The 19,950-nt window shown below is 39.4% G+C and overlaps 1 protein-coding gene across 4 annotated transcripts in view; it reads left to right on the forward strand.

The window, feature by feature from the left end:
* Positions 1 to 19,950, forward strand: part of INVS (inversin) — a 202,933-nt gene that overhangs the window by 113,125 nt on the left and 69,858 nt on the right. For 3 of the 4 annotated variants that reach the window (NR_134606.2, NM_001318382.2, NM_014425.5), the window contains exons 4-5: positions 13,695 to 13,868; positions 17,293 to 17,460. Coding sequence is in view for 2 of the 4 variants with exons in the window: in NM_014425.5 (NP_055240.2) it covers positions 13,695 to 13,868; positions 17,293 to 17,460 (342 nt within the window). In the remaining 2 variants the exon portion in view is untranslated. Of the gene's footprint in view, positions 1 to 3,033; positions 3,122 to 13,694; positions 13,869 to 17,292; positions 17,461 to 19,950 lie in introns of all 4 variants that reach the window. The other variant, NM_001318381.2, reaches the window with a different exon arrangement.

Consider the following 19,950-nt stretch of genomic DNA (forward strand, 5'->3'; position numbering starts at 1 on the left):
TGTCAGAAAATTAATGTCTTCTGAGAAAACAGTTGAGACAACTATTAATATAGATGCCTCATAAATCTATATCTTGAATCTAGCCATCTCTTCTAATGTTCAGGTCTATATGTATCTGCCCCTCCCCAACAACCTTTTCTTTTTGCTAGACCTCTCTGCATAGATTCCCTTCAGGTGCCTCAAACTCCACTTTAGAAAAAAAAAACAGAACTCAAAAATTTTTATCCCTAACCCTATTTTTTTCTCCCATCTCTTCAGTTGTTGGTAACACCCTCTATCTGGTAGCCATTCAGGAATCTTCTTATGTATTTCACTGATCTCTTCCCTTATTTCCATTTAGCTCTCAACATTTCTATTGTGGGTTGCTGTAATAACCCCCTTACTGCTCTGCTTGCCTAAAGATTTTTTCCCCTCAAATCAGTGCTTCACATAACCTCCAGTGTCTTTTCTAAAAACACAAATCCAGTCATGTCATTTCCTTCTTAAATCTTCTCTTTTTCCTGTCTTAGTTTGCTTGGCCTTCTATAACAAAAATACTTTAGACTGGATGGCTGGAACAACAGACATTTATTTCTCACAGTTCTGGAGGCTGGAGAGTCCAAGATCAAGGCACCAGCAGATTCTGTGTCTGGTGAGGGCCTGCTTCCTGGTTCATAGATGGCTGTCTTCTTGCTGTATCCTCACATGACAGAAGGGAGTGAAAGAGCTCTCTGAGGTCTCTTTTTAGGGGTACTAATCCCATTTATGAGCTCCACCCTCGTGATGTAATCATCTTCCAAATGTCCCATATCCTAATACCAAGACATTGGCGTTAGAATTTCAACACATGAATTGGGGGGGTTTGGGGGTTGGGGGGACATATATTCAGTCTGTAGCACTCCTTTTTACCAATATGATCAACTTTAGGCTCCTTATCATAACATATTAGACTATCCATTTTATAACCCCTGCTCACCTCTCTGATCTTACTTTTCACTTCCTCTTACAGTGCATTTCTTTTCTTTTTTCTTTTTTTTTAATTAGAGAAAGGGTCTCACTATGTGGCTCAGGCTGGTTTCTAACTCCTGGGCTCGAGTGATCTGCCCACCTTGGCCTCCCAAAGTGCTGGGATACAGGCATGAGCCACCATTCCTGGCCCTTACAATGCATTTCATATTACAATGATATTGAATTATTTGCGGAGTTTGAGATGAGATTTTACCCTAAATATAAGCTAAGAAGTTAGTCTGTTACTGTTTCATGGATGCTAACAATAGATACGAGACTCCGCAGTCAGAGACAAAGTAGTTTACTACTCACAACACAGCAAAAAGAATGAGCACCACGTCTATGCTTCCCTTGCCCCCAGAGAACATGTGGAAGTTGCAGAGGCTGCACACAGTGGGTTTTCATCACAACTGAGGAACACCGAACTTCAGGAATCTACCACTTTTATAGTAAGCACTTAGTAAGCCCAGAGGAAGACATTACCTCATCTCTCCAGTTGCTTGTTGCAAACACAACCCTGAAAAATTACCTAAGTAAAGAGTGGCCAAGACTTTGCATTCTTGGCATACCCAGTAAGAACGTTTAGGAATGCTTCAGGCCCATGGTAGATTGACTCTTCCAACAACCCATCCCTCAGCCCAGCATTGTCTTGACATGAGTATGCCACTACATCAGCTACTTTTATTTATCTTACCAAGAGAGACTAGGACCATCGCTTTAATTTGTCTCATACAGCACTTACTTAACAAGACTCCAAGTAGCAGGATAAAAACATCCTGTAATATTGGTATCAACTATGTCCCTCAGTATCTTGGACTAAATCAACTGTGAATAAGCCCCAGAGGAGAAAGTAGATCTTACTTTATACAGCTAGGATGTAATCTAAGTCTGGTCTGTTATCTATTTTGACCCATGCAAGGGAGTTTAGACTGACATGCTAATCTTTGGCCTCGTTGCAGATAGTTACAGGAGGCGCTAGATTACAGGGGCCAAAAAGCAACCCCCAAGCTCAAAGGTGGAATACACCATGGCCTACTCTTTCCTACATACAAACATGTAGCCTAAAGAGGCTGAAATAAAGAGTCACTTTATTTCAGGATTTGTCATTAAACTTGGATCAACCATTACATTGATTTGTCTAAGCCACATGGGCAGTATCACTAAGTAGTTGTTACTTCAGTTGCCATGCATGGCATAATCCAAAGCTGCTCACATGTCAGAAGAAGCATATGGATTTGTGTACATCAGATTAAAATAAGGTTGTGCCAGTCCCTTTGCTTCCATGTATACAACGGGGTCCACATTCAGGAGCTGTCATTGATGGTATCAAGCACAGCAAAAGAATTAAGAACCACCAATGCCCATGTGAATTTTTCTGTTTCATAGCAAGCACATGGTCAGAGATAAAACAGACGCAGGTCAGATGGCTGGCCTCAGCTGCTGTTTGATTCAGGTAGCTCACTATATATTTGTTTTGCCAGGATGCACTTGCGGATCCAGAGGACAAAGAAAGTATTAATTGTCCTCCCCATCCCTGTACTTCCTGAGGTCTCATGTGTTTCCTTCCTAGGGGCTGAAGTTGTTGCTTTCCTTCTTTGGCCACATAGTTAATGTGTCCCATTCCAGTAGATATAACTTCGCCTTTTCTCCAATCATCCCCTACTTGTGCCTGTAGCTTATAGAAGGGTAAGTACATATGGGACAAATTTAGAAACCTATTATGTCTTCCATTTTGGCCTATATGGACCACTATAGAATGACTCAGTGAGCAGGGCACTCAATCAGATGGTCATTATGGATATTTATGATCTGGGACCTTATCAGTTGAACAAAATGAATCCAGGTGGGTAAACCCAAATTAAGCTTGAATCTCTAAGCCCCCTTTTGGCTGGCTGCCACCCAAGGGATATATGAAACAAACCATCCTGAGATTGCTTTTGGGAAAAAGAAAGAAGCAAGATAACCAGGGTTGGGCCAGGCAGAATCCCAAATTTTCAAAACAGATGTATATAATCCCCCACTCCTTTTGTCCTGATTATTTCCCAGGAGGCTACAAGGATGAAATGAACCCTTTCTGAAGGTGGCCACAGTTAGTAAGCAAACTGCTTCATACAGGAGTGTGGACCAGGAGGAGGTAAGAGAGGTGGAGCCAGAAACATTTTTGAGTTGATTTTCAAGAAGGCCTTTCCAAGCTCTCAACAATTCCAGATACCTGAGGATGGTAGGAAGCATGGAATGTCCATTAAGTACCTAACTATTGGCTCATTGTTAGGCATATCATGGTCAGACTATAGAAGGTCTAGGAACCCCAAAACATGGTCCTCAGTGCTATAGCTTGAATAGGCTAATCAGATTGGAGCAGCAACTCCATATGGTGGAGCAGCAACACCATAACCTGAAAAATGTCTATGGTGGAAAGGCACGAGGTGAGCCCAAGAGGAGGTGACAGAGGTCCCTGCTGGGAAGGGGCAAGGGCAATCCTCCATGTAATGTGGACTCCTTCACCACAAGAAAAGGAGGCCAACTGGGCAAGATACATAAGTCTGGTATGCAGTGGTATCTTCTGCATGAAAAACATACCTTTTACTTTGTATCCATTCTATTGTGGTGGGTTCATTGCCTTATCTAGTGCAGTGATGGATCCTAGTGGCAAATCCCAGTGACCAGGCAATACAGACTTGTTCAGCGACTTGATTTCAGTCGGTCTTATCAGAGAGCAGGCCCTTACTGTTACTGTGGGTATCTATGTGAGTGACCCAAAGTGTCTGATTGGCAGCCACAATTTGTTTGTAGTTTGTGGCCCCAAACAGGAATATCTTTAATTTACCAACTGTAGTCTTCCAAGTGGCAGACCAGGTGACTACAGTACTGTTAGCAGACCAAGAATCAGTAAAAATACGGCTAGTCTTTGGGAGTATTGCCTAAGGTAAGGGTGATGGCTTTTCATTTCAGCCCATTGGGCTAACTGGTCATTACCACTCAGTCTCCTGGAGCTGTCATTGAGGTTGGACAGCTACTGCCCCCTACTGGACACCATCGGGTTTTAACTTAGCCAAAGCATCAGCAAACCAGGCCAAGGCATTTAAGGGACCATTAAGCCAGCAGCTTTGCTTCAGACAGTGGCCACCTGTATACCCAGTGCTTTGTCCTCAATGTCAAATAAGTCAGGCTAAAGCAGGAATCAGATACATAGAACAGTTGACTCTGTCCTATTAGGCAAGGTTTTGCATTCACATTCACTTTTGAGCACCTGCTCACTCATGTCTCAACCAAATGAACTTCTAATGTTTTCAATCCACCTAAAGATCCATGTCAAATAGCAAAATCTTCATTGTTCTCTCCATTTATTTCTGTTTTGGAGATTTCTTGGCCCTGCAGCCGCAACCACATGGTCTTTCAGCTTGCTGCCCCCGTGGTCATGTACCATTCCTTCTTTTGCCTGCCCAGAGGAAGGTGAGCAAAAACAAAGGCACTATTTGGGTGGCTTGCTTTAATCCCACCTCTCACCATTCAGACTCATTAACAGAGAGAATACTGGGGTCACTCGCCCCTTAACCTTGCCCACCACCTGGGCATGATCTCAGGGGGTCTTCTCACCCTTGAACCTAAGGATACCTGAGAATGGGCCTCTAGGGTTCTTGTCCTTACTCTTCAAGAAAACTATGTCTCTCCAGCTGGGTGCAGTGGCTCATGCCTGTAATCCCAGAACGTTGAGAGGCCGAGGTGAGTAGATCACTTGAGGTCAGGAGTTTGTGACCAGCCTGGCCAACATGGTGAAACCCCGTCTCTACCAAAAATATAAAAATTAGCCAGGCATGGGGGCACACACCTATAATCCCAGCTACTTGGGAGGCTGAGGCACAAGAATTGCTTGAACCCGGGAGGCAGAGGTTGCAGTGAGCCAAGATCGCGCCACTGCACTCCAGCCTGGGCGACAGAGTGAGACTCTGTCTCAAAAAAATAAAAGGAAGAAAGAAAGGAAAACTATGTCTCTGTCAGTATCCTATCATCTTTTACTGTCTTGTCAGTTCTGGCATTTAATTAACCCTATTTACAAGGTAATAAGTTAGCTGCAGATGCTGGCAGAAGACACAAGACTCCCATCAGAGACGAAAAGCGTCATTACTAATGGCATAGCTAGGAGCTAGGAGTACTTATCTGTTTGCATGAGTTTCCCTCCCCTCCAAGGATTATGGGGGCAATATGGAGGACTCAGATGGGCCCAGCACACAGTGGGTTTGCATGACATCTGAAGAGTGCTAGATTTTGGGAATCTCCAGCTTTTAGTAAATAGAGTAGTAAGCAAGCCTGCTTGTTCTTTGCCCTGGTGGGTGACATTACCTCGTCACTCAAGATTGCTCACTGCAAACCCCACTCTGGAAAATGGTCCCAGTAAAGTGGAGTCAAGCTTTTGCATTCTTGGCATACCCAGTAAGTACATTCAGGGACATTCAAGGCCCAGGGCAGATTGCCTCTCCCAACACTATTGTGGTATTTCCAAAACTCATTTGTGTCTGCAACCACTACAGAAAAGTTTGATATAATGAAATTACTGATATTTGCGACCTATATACTTCCTAGGGATAGTAATTCTTTTTACAAATTAATACAGTAAATGCCTTGAGAGTTTATAAATACATAATTATATAGCTATAATTATAATTAATAAATCATGTTTCTATTTTTCCATTTCAATTTTAAGTAATGTATTTTGGGTATATAATATATTTAGGATTTAAAATGAACTATGACAGAGTACCTACTTTACATTTGTGTGTGCTATTATAAATATAGTTATCTTTCTAGGCCAAAATTTTATACCAATTTGTAAATGAACAAAAAAATATAGTGAACATTTATATATATATAGTGAGCAATTGTTTTTCTCTCCAAGTACAGTGACAGAAAATATAAGCACTGGGGACACAGAACAAGAATGCAAAGAAATTAATTGGAAAACATGTAGGTCCCAAAGTATTGGTTTTGGGAAAACATCTGGCCTCTTCAGTACTCCAGTGGGGAGAAGGGCCACCGTAGGCAGTTTTAGTCAAGTCTTGGGCATTGAAGTCTGTTAAAGTAATCGTCTCAGCTGAAGAGGAAGCAAATAGCAAAGGCCCCAGGGAGACAGATATAGAAAATATGGTAGCCATTTTGGGGAAAAAATGTAGAGGTAGGATCCAGAATATTTTGAGGATCAGCTGCCAATTATCTATAAGTTAATCATAAAGGCACTTACTGGGAACAAACAGCAGTCCTGTAGAATATGATTTCAGAATAGGGTTCAGGAAGATGCCTCCTTCCTTTTCACTGATTGAAAGGTGGTCATATTTGTGCAAAAGGCAAGAAAATTCTTAGAATTTTGGAATATTCTTTGCCTCACTATGAGGCTACAGCTTTATAGGAAGCTGTTTATCTAGAGAAATGGCAGAAGCAGGACACCATCCAAGCCTCAGGTCAGGAAGCTACTCACTAGCTCACTGTTAATAATTGTGACATCCCTAATATCACTGAAGACAGGGCTCCAGGAGATCTGTGTAGGAGCAGATTGTTATAATGGACTAGGAGCTGGGTGGAAGATGCTCTATGGGTCAACAAGGAGAAAAAAGGAAAACAAAGCAAACAAATGAAAAACAAAAATGAACCTGCAGACAGAAATTTCAAAATATTTGAAGAAATCTAATGCTAACAAAGCAAACAATATTATTCAGATTACGAATTCATTCCTAGTGGGAGAGCATAAATAAAGCAAAAAAATAAGCCACACAGAGAAGATATTTGCAAAACCAACCAAGAATTAGTATCCAGAATACATAAAGAACTCCTATAGATCAGTAAGAAAAAAAAACAAATAGCCAAGTTCAGAAATGAGTTACAACACAAGAAGGCTATTTACAAAAGAAACAAATATCCAGCAAACATATAAAAACATTCCACCTCAATTCGGGAAATGCACATTAAAACACAGCTGTAGGCCAGGCACAGTGGTGCACGCCTGTAGCCCCAACTACTTGAGAGGCTGAGGTGGTAGGATCACTTGAGCCCAGGAGTTGAGTCCAGCCTGGGCAAGCTATAGCAAGACCCCTTCTATTAAAAAACAAAACAAAAAACTGTAACCGTCAGATTGGCAAAAATTAGCAAGTCAGACAAAACCCAGTGTGGTGAGGATGTGGAGAAACAGGAACTCATACATTACTGTTATGAATGTTAACTTGGAGTAGCTATTTTAGAGAGCAATCTCAAACCAGAAGTTTCAGAAATTCTTATGTACTTACCAGGAGATATGTATGAGAATATTCATTACAATATTGGGTAATCTTGAAAAATGAGAAACATGCTAAATATCCCTCTAGAGAAGAATAAATATATTATTTTCATATGACAGCATACTTATTCCAGTGAAAATGTATGAACCCAGGCAACTTGAATAAATCTGAAAAATACTGCTTTGAGTAAAAAATGACACGATTCATGCAAGACCATTTGTACAAAGATTGAAAACATGTAAAACAATACTATGTCGTTTATGGATATATATATATATATATGTTTGTATGAAATAGAAGCATAAAAACATTCATTGGAATGATAAACACCCAATTCAGGATAGTAGTCTCCAAAGAGGGAGAGAAGGTAATGGAATTGGGGACACAAAGGAAGTATTAACTTTATCTGTTAGGTTTTATTACTTAAAAAATGAAAAATCCAAAGCAAAATATCAAAGTATTTTTCTCAAAATCTCCATATCATTGTTATTACCATTAAATAGCTATGTGCTTTTTTTTTAAAAAAAGGAGTTCATCTTAAGAGAACTGGACAGACACAAATATAAAGTTAAAAATCACATTTTGACCTAATTTGTTTCCCAGATTCCTTTCAAGTGCTGTTCTCTGGGTCAGAGAACTTTTAATTCTCTTTCACCCTTTTCATACATTTGGAGAAAATCTAAGTGTCATAATCTTTATGTGACAGATGAAAGAAGCTCTTGGTGTTAATTACAGGAAGATTTAGAGGAAAATTATGACCACCTAATGAAAAACGAAAAAAAATTTATTCACTGTTTCAGAGATATTGGGAAATGTTTTCACATTTCAGAAGCATGATGGACCTGATCATAGCAGAGTAATGTCCTTTTAAATGACTAAATCAAGACCTTCCTGTAACTTCAGCTCCCTTACTTCTGCTTACCTACCATCAGAGTTTTCTTAAGTATATATCCTCTTTTGATCTATTATCTCCTTCGCTCTTATACTATTTCCTACCCACTCCAAAATTATAAAAGCAGACCCTAAAACAAACCGTCCTCCAAACAGGATCAGTTTCTGTATAGCTCTAACAGGTTATACTAAATGATTAACTTCCAGGCCAGGCACAGTGGCTCACGCCTGTAATCCCAGCACTTTGGGAGGCTGAGGCAGGCGGATCACCTGAGGTCAGGAGTTTGAGACCAGCCTGGCCAACATGGTGAAACCTGATTTACCAGGCTTGGTGGCAGGCACCTGTAATCTCAGCTATTCAGGAAGCTAGGGCAGGAGAATTGCTTGAACCCTGAAGGCAGAGGTTGCAGTGAGCTGAGATTGTGCTACTGCACTCTAGCTGGGCAACAGAGCAAGACTCTGTCCCAAAAAAAAAAAAAATAGATTAACTTCCAAATCCTCCAAAAAGTATTTGCATTATAAGAATATTCTCAAAAACATAAGAACTCCTCAGTTCAAGAAATACCGAGGAAGTATTTAGACTTTCTGTAATGAGAAGGTTTTACAGGAAGCAAAGTAGCCTATAACATGGGTCCAAAGGGTCACACAACCTTCAGAGGGTTGTCAAATTAGCTTACTGCCTCAAACTAGTATCTTCCTCTGTTCCATTGATACTAGAAATATTCTCCTGATTTTAGCACTTAAAGTTCTCTGTCCCTTCTGCTCATTCCCAAAGATTGAATTTGCATACAGGACAATTTTTTTTTTTTTTTTGAGACAGGGTCTTCTCTGATACCCAGGCCGGGGTGCAGGGGCACAATCATGGCTTACTGCAGTTTTGACCTCCTGGGCTGAAGTGATCTTCCCACTCCGGCCTCCCAGAGTGCTAGGATTACAGGTGTGAGCCACTGTGCCCAGCCAGTTGCTTGTTTAGGAGAACAAACAGGTTGGCCTTGGTCCAAGTAAATTATATTGTTTCTAGTCCAGCCTTCATAGATAATATCTGATGGGTCTCTGTCATTTGAAATAGGAGATGCTGGCCTCCTCCCCAAGGTACCTGCTAAATTCCTATTGTCTATGCCTTTGTTGGTCCTATATCATCATTATCTGTAGGCAGAATATAGACATCTTTCTCAGTGAAAAAAAAAAATCAGACAAACCACTACTGTAATTCCCCATTATCCACGGTTTTGCTTTCTGTGATTTCATTTACTGTGGTCAACCATGATCTAAAAATACTAAGGTATTTTGAGAGAGAGAGACCACATTCACATAACTTTTCATACACTATATTATTATAATTGTTCTATTTTATTATTAGTTATTGTTAATCTTTTACTGTGCCTAATTTATAAATTAAACTTTACCATAGATATGTGTGTATATGAAAAAAATAGTATATATAGAGGGTTTGGTGCTATCTGCAGTTTCAGATATTCACTGGGGATCTTGGAATGTATCCCCAGGAGATAAAGGGGGACTACTCTATTTATAACATTCTAACTATTTTTACTTTTACCTTTTCCTAATCTTGGTTCTTAATCACTAGCTGAACTGTGTATATTACAATCAGATCTTTCTGTCTGCATGCCCTTTATCTTGGGCCATTCTTGGTTCTATCTGACCATCTATGTTTTGTTGAATACTACACACTGGAAAACTATTTATAATAATAAAAACATCTACTGAGCATTTGCTTTGTTCACTGTTCTAAGAACTTTTACAAATATCATTTGTCTCATTTCATATGCATAATAACTTCAGGTACCATTATTACCCCTGTTTTATATATGAGAAAATAGAGGCACAGGAGGATAATTTATTTAATCTGTGAAAATGTTTGATGATACTTCTGTGAGAAACAAAGATGAAATTATGTCAAAGAGCTTTGTAATACGTAAAACAAAGTACGAGCATTGTACTGTTATCTGCTTCATAACAAGGCTCAATGAATATTTGTTGAATGAATGAATGAGTAAATATCATTACTGAGTTGCACTGTGTCTTGTGAGGGTAGAGTCCTCAGAATAATGTAAAGTGTAAATATGCCAAGCACTGTGTCTATAGCTCAGTAGTTACCCCCACCAACATATACTAGTTTCCTTCTTCTCCTTCCCTTTTCCTCTAATTTCCAATCGAAATGACTGTCTGATTGAATATCTTTAAAGGTCATGATGAATTACTCTGTAATATTTGAAGTGTTATGTTCAGAAAGGTCAAACTTTATTTTTCGGTATGAAGTGTCACACAGATTTGTTTTTCCTGGGCAAACTTTTTTTTTTTTTTTTTCCCCAAAGAAAAGATGGCAAGAAATTTAGAGCAGGGTGCCCTCTTGAGGAAATTTTAGCATCTTCCTTCTCAAGAACTGACATCAAATGAAATGACAAGTCCAGATAAATGATGTACACTATTAATGAAGCTCAGAAAAATGAAACATTAAAAAGTAAGAATAACCAAATACCAGGTATTTGAGAATTAAGATTCTTAACTGTTATGATCTAATATAGCAACTGTAAATAAGAATTTTTATCATTTATTTATTTATTTATTTTTAATTTTTTTTTTTGAGACAGAGTCTCACTGTGTCACCCAGGCTGGAGTGCAGTGGTGCAATCTCAGCTTACTGGAGCCTCCGCTTCCTGGGTTCAAGGATTTTCATGCCTCACCCTCCCGAGTAGCTGGAACCACAGCTTGCACCACCATGCCCGGCTGATTTTTTTTGTATTTTTAGTAGACACAAAGTTTCACTATATTGGCCAGCCTGGTCTCGAACTCCTGACCTCAAGTGATCTGCCCATCTCGGCCACCCAAAGTGCTAGAATTACAGGCATGAGCCACCACTCCCAGGCTTGTAAATAAGAATTTTTAAATGAAAACAAAAACCTCTAGAAGATATTTCATTTCTTCTTATTTACTCATTTCTTCAAGTAATATTTATTAGGCACCTATTCTGTGCCAGGAACTATGCTGAGCACAGGGATCAATAAAACATGGTCTCTGCTTTCATGGAGCTTACAGTTTGTGAGGGAGCTCACACTGAAGAGAAACAAACAAATATATATGTAATTGCAAACTGAGAAAAGTACTATGAGAGAAATGAATAGGTACTAGAATAAAGAATAACAAGTAAGTTCTATTTAGGGTCATCAAGGGAAACCTCTCTGAGAGGAAATATCCAGCAGAGTCCGTTGGCTTTTCCACCTATTCCAAGTCTTCCCATCTAATATAGACAGTCTACAGATCCTCTTTCCTAGCCATGGTCTTTCTTATCTTCTCTTATCTCTGCCCCTGTGGTGGACTGAGTCAATCCTATCTCTGCCCCTGTGGGCAAGCAGTTAGTTCTCATTCGTCCTTCTGCACCTCACTGTCACTCTAGTAACCTTGCCTTACAGCAGGGATGTCCAATCTTTTGGCTTCCCTGGGCCACACTGGAAGAAGAAGAATTGTCTTCGGCCATACATAAAATAGCACTAACAATAACTGATGAGCAAAAAAAACAAAACAAAAAAAAACACGCAAAAAAATCTCATAATGTTTTAAGAAAGTTTAAGAATTTTGTTGGGCCACATTCAAAGCCATCCTGGGCCACGTGCAAGCCAGGTGCCGCGGTGTGGACAAGCTTGCTGTAGAGCTGCACATTCTTCACAGTAGGTGGTCTGCTTGATTAAAAAATGTATTCCTTACTAATATTGATAGTCCCTCATAGGAGAACATCAATGCATTATCATGCTAAAAGGGCCCACTTCTAACAAGGTTAAGGATGACAAATGGACAAATAATCCTGCCTGCCATTATCCTCTGAATAGGGAGAGATAAATAGGCACGAAGTAGGCTGAGAACCTGATCAGGCAATACTGTTTGGTCACACTGACCTTGAAATATCTGAGGTACCAAGCACATAGAAACCTCCAACTGGAAGTAAAAATGAGGAAATAGATCTGAGAAAAGAGCCCAGAAGAACAATTTTTAGAGTCTTATTTTGTTCAAAGCTGCCATGTTACACAGACTTACTATGTAATGGTTGGCCTGGCTCATTAACACTCTTGCTGTGGCCCTTGTAACTAAGCTTCTTTCTCTTTTTTTTTTTGAAATGGAGTCCGGCTCTGTCACCCAGGTTAGAGTGCAGTGGTGCGATCTCTGCTCACTGCAACCTCTGCCTCCCGGGTTCAAGCAAGTCTCTGCCTCAGCCTCCCGAGTAACTGGGATTACAGGCGCCTGCCACCACGCCTGGCTAATTTTTGTATTTTTAGTAGAGACGGGGTTTCACCATGTTGGCCAGGCTGGTCTAGAACTCCTGACCTCGTGATCCCCCCACCTCAGCCTCCCAAAGTGCTGGGATTACAGGCATGAGCCACCGCACCCGGCCTGCTTCTTTCTTGAGGTGGGTTGATTCTACCAGACTGGAGGATTTAACTGACTTGGAGAGTACTGCCTGCAAGTGGGTGGGCCTACCATGACTTCTGAGTTGGCATTTAGGTGACCGTTTGAGTCTGGGATCCAAACTTGGTTTTTTTGTTTTTTTTTTTTTGAGACGGAGTCTCACTCTGTCGCCCAGCCTGGAGTGCAGTGGCACGATCTCGGCTCACTGCAAGCTCCGCCTCCCAGGTTCACGCCATTCTGCTGCCTCAGCCTCCCGAGTAAATGGGACTACAGGCGCCCACCACCACGCCCGGCTAATTTTTCGTAGAGATGGGGTTTCACCGTGCTGGCCAGGATGGTCTCAATCTCCTGACCTCGTGATCCACCCGCCTCGGCCTCCCAAAGTGCTGGGGTTGCAGATGTGAGCCACCACGCCCGGCCCTGGGATCCAAACTTTGAATAAGCTGCCTCTACCTTAGTTGTACCCATAAATAGCTTTCTTTAAGAAAACTAATCATCCATACCTTATTAACCAGAGGTCCTGAACAAAACGTTTAACTACTTTGAATCTCAGTTTCCTCACCTGTAAATTGGGATTTAACATCTCTGCTTATTTCGCATTATTACACTTTGAGTATAAATAATAGGTACTATGTTGGTCAAAATGTGCTGAAACTAATACACCTACACATTGCTGCTGTTAGATAGCAATTTGGAAAATACACCAAACACTGTAAAATGTGCAAACGTCTTTGACCCAACAATTTGGTTCCTGATAATTTATTCTTGTGAAAAAATTAAGAAAAAAAATGTGAAAAAAGATGTACAGTGAAGCATTTACTACAAAAAAAATATTAGAAACATTCTAGATATCTAACAATAATAGACTGGTTAAATAAAACATGTTGTTTTATTTGCAATAAAATATTGGCCAGCCACTATGTAAATTATATTCATGTAGAAAGTTCTTGGAAGGAAACATGAAAAAATAAAACAATTGATAGTATAGTGGAATTACAAGCATTTTTCCTTATTAATTTCTCTGGATGTTATTACTCTAGGAGAATAATTAACATACTTAAAACATTTTAAAATTAAAAAAAATTTTGACCCCATAGTACATTTTTTTCTTATCATCTCTTGTTTTTTATTTAGGGAAATTATCGTTTCATGAAACTCTTACTTACACGCAGAGCAAACTGGATGCAAAAGGATCTGGAAGAGATGACTCCTTTGCACTTGACCACCCGGCACAGGAGCCCTAAGTGTTTGGCACTTCTGCTGAAGTTTATGGCACCAGGAGAAGTGGATACACAGGATAAAAACAAGGTAATGGATACTCAAAATCAAAGACTAATAAGACCAGAAAGCAAATGCTTCCTTTTATGATGTGAAATTTCAAGGAAGAAGGCCTGAATTACCACATATATACATGGTAGAACAATTCCAAATCTCCATACATCTCAGGGAAGTATTTCACTTAAATTCTGTCATTTTATCCTCTCAGCAACCATGTGTGTTAGGTAGTATCATCTTTTTACAGATGGAAAAACTGAAGCTCAGGAAGATTAAAAGTTTGCCCAAGATGCAAGTGGCAGAACTAGAATTCAAATCTAGTCCTGTCGGCCGGGCGCATTGGCTCATGCCTGTAATCCCAGCACTTTGGGAGGCCGAGGCAAGTGGATCAGCTGAGTTCAGGGGTTCAAGACTGGCCTGGCCAACATAGTGAAACCTCATCTCTACTAAAACTACAAAAATTAGCCGGGCATGTTGGCATGCGCTTGTAATCCCAGCTACTCGGGAAGCTGAGGCATGAGAATCGCTTGAAACTGGGAGGCAGAGGTTTCAGTGAGCCCAGATAGTGCCACTGAACTCCAGCCTGGGTGACAGAGTGAGACTGTCTCAAAAAAAAAAAAAAAAAAAAAAAAATCAGTCCTGTCTTAACTCCAAAACCCAATATTTGACAGGGAGTCATAATAGTTACTATAGGTGGTTAGACTCATGATGGCCAAATGCCCATGGCAATGTCCTAAATGCTTAGTGGTTTAGTGGCCTACGCTTTGGTATCAGCCTTCCTGGGTTTCAACCCAGAATCCACTACTTAACTTGTTCTGTGTCCTTGAGCAAATTGCTTAACTCCTCTGTGCCTCAATTTTTGTATGTATGGAAAAAGGTTAATAGGATTACTGTTAGGTTCAGCATAGTATTACATTTCAGTAAATAGAATCAGAACAAGTATAACATAGGAAAAGAAAGGAATTACGTGTTGTTTATTGAAGATGTGGTTATAGGTAATTAGTAAGTGCTATTATACTTGTGGCTTTTTAAAAATCTGCAGTTGTTAGTAAGCAAAAGTAGTAAGTTAAATAGTGAGTGTTCATATTAAATGCCTATAGGTACACCTTGAAGGAATACCATGTATGTCAGTTTCTAAAGTTTTTAATGTGACAGATGAGCTTGGTTCCTGCTCATTAAATTATCTAATTGTAGATTGGATTGCTGACAATGCTACTCACGAGGGCTAATATATATTTAAACAGTTCTTACATTTTTTCTTAATAATTATCCTAATAGGGAAGCCAGTCTTATAGAATTATGTTGACGAGAACAGCAGAAGAGATTTTAAAGCAACTTCAACAAGTTCAAGATGATCATTTTCAACTTTTATCTGAAATAAAGTGTGAACATTGTCAAAATCAAAATGGAGTTGTTTCTGTTTAAAACAACAACAACAAAACCTGACAGAGCCAGGGAAGGCCATGAAGAGAGGATTCTTGTGCTTGTAAGCCTGATTAAAAAAAAAAAAAATCACAGACTGTGCAAAAACCACAGCCTTGCACAAAGGCCATCATAACCTTACACAAAAATTACTTCTTCAAAGACATTTGCCCAGCAACTGCCTGTCCAACCTTGCACTGGCATTATCTTTGTTATCGATCTTTGTAGCCAAGGATCATCATTTGAAAACAATTACGTAATCCTGCTCATTTTTCTTTTAAAAACTTTTGTCTTCCTTTACTTGAGTACACATAGTTTAGCAATGCCCTACTACCAGATACCAAATAAACATTATTTTCTTTCTTTCTTTTTTTTTTTTTTTTTGAGACAGAGTCTCACTCTATCACCCAGGCTGGCGTGCAGTGGTGTGATCTTGGCTCACTGAAACCTCCACCTCCCAGGTTCAAGCGATTCTCATGCTTCAGCCTCCCAAGTAGCTGGGATTACAGGCATGCGCCACCAGGCCCAACTAATTTTTGTATTTTTAGTAGAGACGGGGTTTCACCATGTTGACCAGGCTGGTCTCGAACTCCTGACCTCAAGTGATCCACCCGCCTCGATCTCCCAAAGTGCCGGGATTACAGGCATGAGCCACTGCGCCCAGCCAAACATTATTTTCTTTTAGAGAGACTCTGTTATTTAGGTTGACTAAAGCAAGTGCTGCTGTATTTTCAAAATGTATCTTTTCATCAATAACTGGGTCTAATAATTTATCCTCTAAAATTATATTTAAATTAAAATTTGTCTACTGATACATGGAATGGGTTCCAGATGCATGAATTTCCTATGCATGTATTTTTTTATAGATATTAAAATTCGAAACATCCTGTCAAGTTCTTAAGGTCCTTGGTGATAACCAGATGTGCATTATCAAGATCATCACTTACTTTGTTGATGATTATTTATAAATGACTGGGCCGCTTTCTCTTTCTCAGTGTTATCAGTACCGGATGAACTAAATAACTGTCATGCCTAAGAGGTCAGATTCTGGAGTCAGACTGCCTGGGTTAAAATCTCAGTTCAGCCACTTACTTCCTTTGTGTCCCAGAGCAGATTACTTAGGTTCCGTGTGCTGTTTCCTCATCAATCACATGCAAATTTAAAAACATACTTGTCTCCCAGAGATAGTAAGATGACTGCATGCAATTAAATAGACAATAGTCTCCCTTGTTCAAAGGAAATATATTCCAACACCTCCAATGGACACTTGAAACTGCGGATAGTGTCAAACCCAATTCCCGTCAATAGGAACACATTTCTGTTCATATCTTCTACCCACAAATTTAGTACTTTTTCCGTCTTAACTAAGCACTTATCAGGCACTATGGCCATAATTTTTGCAGTTTGGTATGCAACAGCAAAACCAGCATGAGTTTCTTCTTCCTTCTTTACAGTTTCACAGATAGATTTGTTCTTACGGTAGAGCTTAGCAAACTCAACAAACAATTTTTTCTTATTAAGTTGAGAGCTTTCACCTTTTCACTTAAAGGAAACACTTCATAGCTGCTCTTTGGCATATCTGAATCACCAGTATCAATAATTTTGAGCTTTGGGGCCATTAAGTAAAAGAAGGATGACTTGAACACAAGCACTGTGAATCTAATATTGTGACAATGAATGGGATAACTGAGTTGGCTGCTAGGTGACTAACTGGCAGGGAATGTCTACGGTGGGGATATGCTGAACAAAGGAAGGATTTGTGTCCCAGGTAGGATGGGGTGGGATGAAGCACTATTTCAACATGTTATTTAGAATGGCACACAATTTAAAACTTATGAATTGTTTATTTCTGGAATGTTCTATTTAATATATTTAGACTTCGGTTGAACACAGAGACCTGAAATCATGAAAAGTGAAAACAAAGATACAGGGCAACTACTGTATAAAACTCTTATAACAGTGCCTGTCCCACAATAAAAGATTGGGGAAAGTTAGTTGTTACTGTTGTTATTTCGAGAACCTCTCGATTTTGCAGCAAACAGCTCTGCATTGGAGTGCCTACTACAATAACCCTGAGCATGTGAAGCTGCTCATCAAGCATGATTCTAACATTGGGATTCCTGATGTTGAAGGCAAGATCCCACTTCACTGGGCAGCCAACCATAAAGATCCAAGTGCTGTTCACACAGTGAGATGCATTCTGGTGAGTTGAATGGTACTGCTAGACCTGAATGGCCTTGAAATTTTTTTATTATGAATTATTTAATATATACAAAAGTGTATATTTGACGTACAAGCAAATTATTAAGCAAAAGAATACAACAGACATATGGACTCATCCCCCAAGAAGTAGAACATTTCAGTACCACTATTTAAGACCACATAGAGGTTTCCTATGTCCCAGTTTTTAAACGCATTCATTCCCCCTACGCCGTGCTCATTCCTGTACCCCAGCAACTACTTCCCTGAATCCTGAATTTATATTTATTTCCTTACTTTGTTTCATACTTGTTTTTATTAAACAGTGAATAGATATAAGTATCAGTAAAATACATGTAAAGTATAAATAATAATGAAACAACAAATACTCATATACTCAATATCAAGTTTAAGAAAAAGTATATTACCATTACCTTTGAAGTCCTCTGAGTGGAGTACCTCTCAGTCTCATTCTATTCTCTCCTTTCACAGAGGCAACAACTGTCTTCAATCTTGTGTTATCATTCCCCTGATTTCCATTACCACATTTATTTGTATCCTTAAACAATATATTGCTCAGTATTTAAAGGTTTTGAATTTGATATACAAGGAATTATATTGCATGTTTTTGTTTTTGTTTTGTTTTGTTTTTTTGCAGTGCCCTATTCTTTCTCGCTCAACCTTATGCTGTTTATTTTATTTTATTTTATTTTGAGACAGAGTCTTGCTCTGTCACCCAGGCTGTAGTACAGTGGCATGATCTCGGCTTACTGCAGCCTCCACCTCCCAGGTTTAAGCAATTCTCCTGCCTCAGCGTCCCGGGTAGCTGGGACTGCAGGCGTGCGCCACCGTGCCTGGCTAATTTCCGTATTTTTAGTAGAGACCGGGTTTCACCATGTTGGCAAGGATGGTCTCGACCTCTTGACCTCGTGATCTACCTGCCTCAGCCTCCCAAAGTGCTGGGATTACAGGCGTGAGCCAACGTGTCCGACCACTGGTGATTTTATCTATGTTGCTGCATGTAGCCATGATATATTAATTCTTACTGCTATATAGGATTCCATCTTACGAATAAGCCACACAGTATTCATTCTGTTATTGACAGATACTTTGTTTCCAGTTTTTTGTTATTTACAAACAGTGCTGCATTGACATTTTTGAACATATCTAGGATATATATTTAACTGGTTGTTATAGGTGTATAGGAATGCAGTTGATATTTTTGATCATTGATTACATATCTAACTAATTCGCTAAACTCCTTATTTGTTTCGAATATTTATCAGTAGATTCTTTGAGGTTTTCTAATCCCTCTGTCCCAGCTTCTAATTTACATGCTATGATAGTCCAATAGTTAGTCATATTTGTTTTTAACACACAAATTAGACTTTAAAGTATTATTTTTTAATCGTTTTTTACAACCTCTGATACTAAAAGTATTATTTTGTATATGCAATGCTTAGCTCTGCATTTTTTTTGTATCTCAAATTTTCCTTCTAAAGTTATTATTTTACATCCTGAAATATAGTTCTTAGATTTTTTTTATTATTATACTGTAAGTTCTGGGATACAGGTGCAAAACGTTCAGGTTTGTTACATAGGTATACATGTGCCATGGTGGTTTGCTGCACCCATCAACCTGTCATCTACATTAGGTATTTCTCCTAATGCTATCCCTCCCCTTGCCCCCCACCCCCCAACAGGCCCCACTGTGTGATGTTCCCCTCCCTGTGTCCATGTGTTCTCATTGTTCAACTCCCACTTATGAGAACATGTGGTGTTTGGTTTTCTGTTCTTGTGTTAATTTTCGGAGAATGATGGTTTCCAGCTTCAACCATCTCCCTGCAAAGAACATGAACTCATTCTTTTTTATGGCTGCATAGTATTCCATGGTGTATATGTGCCACATTTTCTTTATCCAGTCTATCATTGATGGGCATTTGGGTTGGTTCCATGACTTTGCTATTGTAAATAATACTGCAATAAACATATGTGTGCATGTGTCTTTATAGTAGAATGATTTATAATCCTCTGGATATATACCCAGTAAGAGGATTCCTGGGTCAAATGGTATTTCTGGTTCTAGATCCTTGAGGAGTCACCGCACTGTCTTCCACAATGGTTGTACTAATTTACACTCCACCAACAGTGTAAAAGCATTCCTATTTCTCCACATCTTCTCCAGCATCTGTTGTTTCCTGACTTTTTAATGATCACCATTCTAACTGGCATGAGATGGTGGTATCTCATTGTGGTTTTGATTTTCATTTCTCTAATGACCAGTGATGATGAGCTTTTTTTCATATGTTTTTTGGCCACATAAATGTCTTCTTTTGAGAAGTGTCTGTTCGTATCCTTTGCCCACTTTTTAATGAGTTTTTTTTTTCTTTTAAATTTGTTTAAGTTCCTTGTAGATTCTGGATATTAGCCCTTTGTCAGATGGATAGATTGCAAAATATTTTCTCCCATTCTGTAGGTTGCCTGTTCACGCTGA

This window comes from Homo sapiens, chromosome 9, assembly GCF_000001405.40.
Source record: "Homo sapiens chromosome 9, GRCh38.p14 Primary Assembly".
NCBI classification, from domain to species: domain Eukaryota; kingdom Metazoa; phylum Chordata; class Mammalia; order Primates; family Hominidae; genus Homo; species Homo sapiens.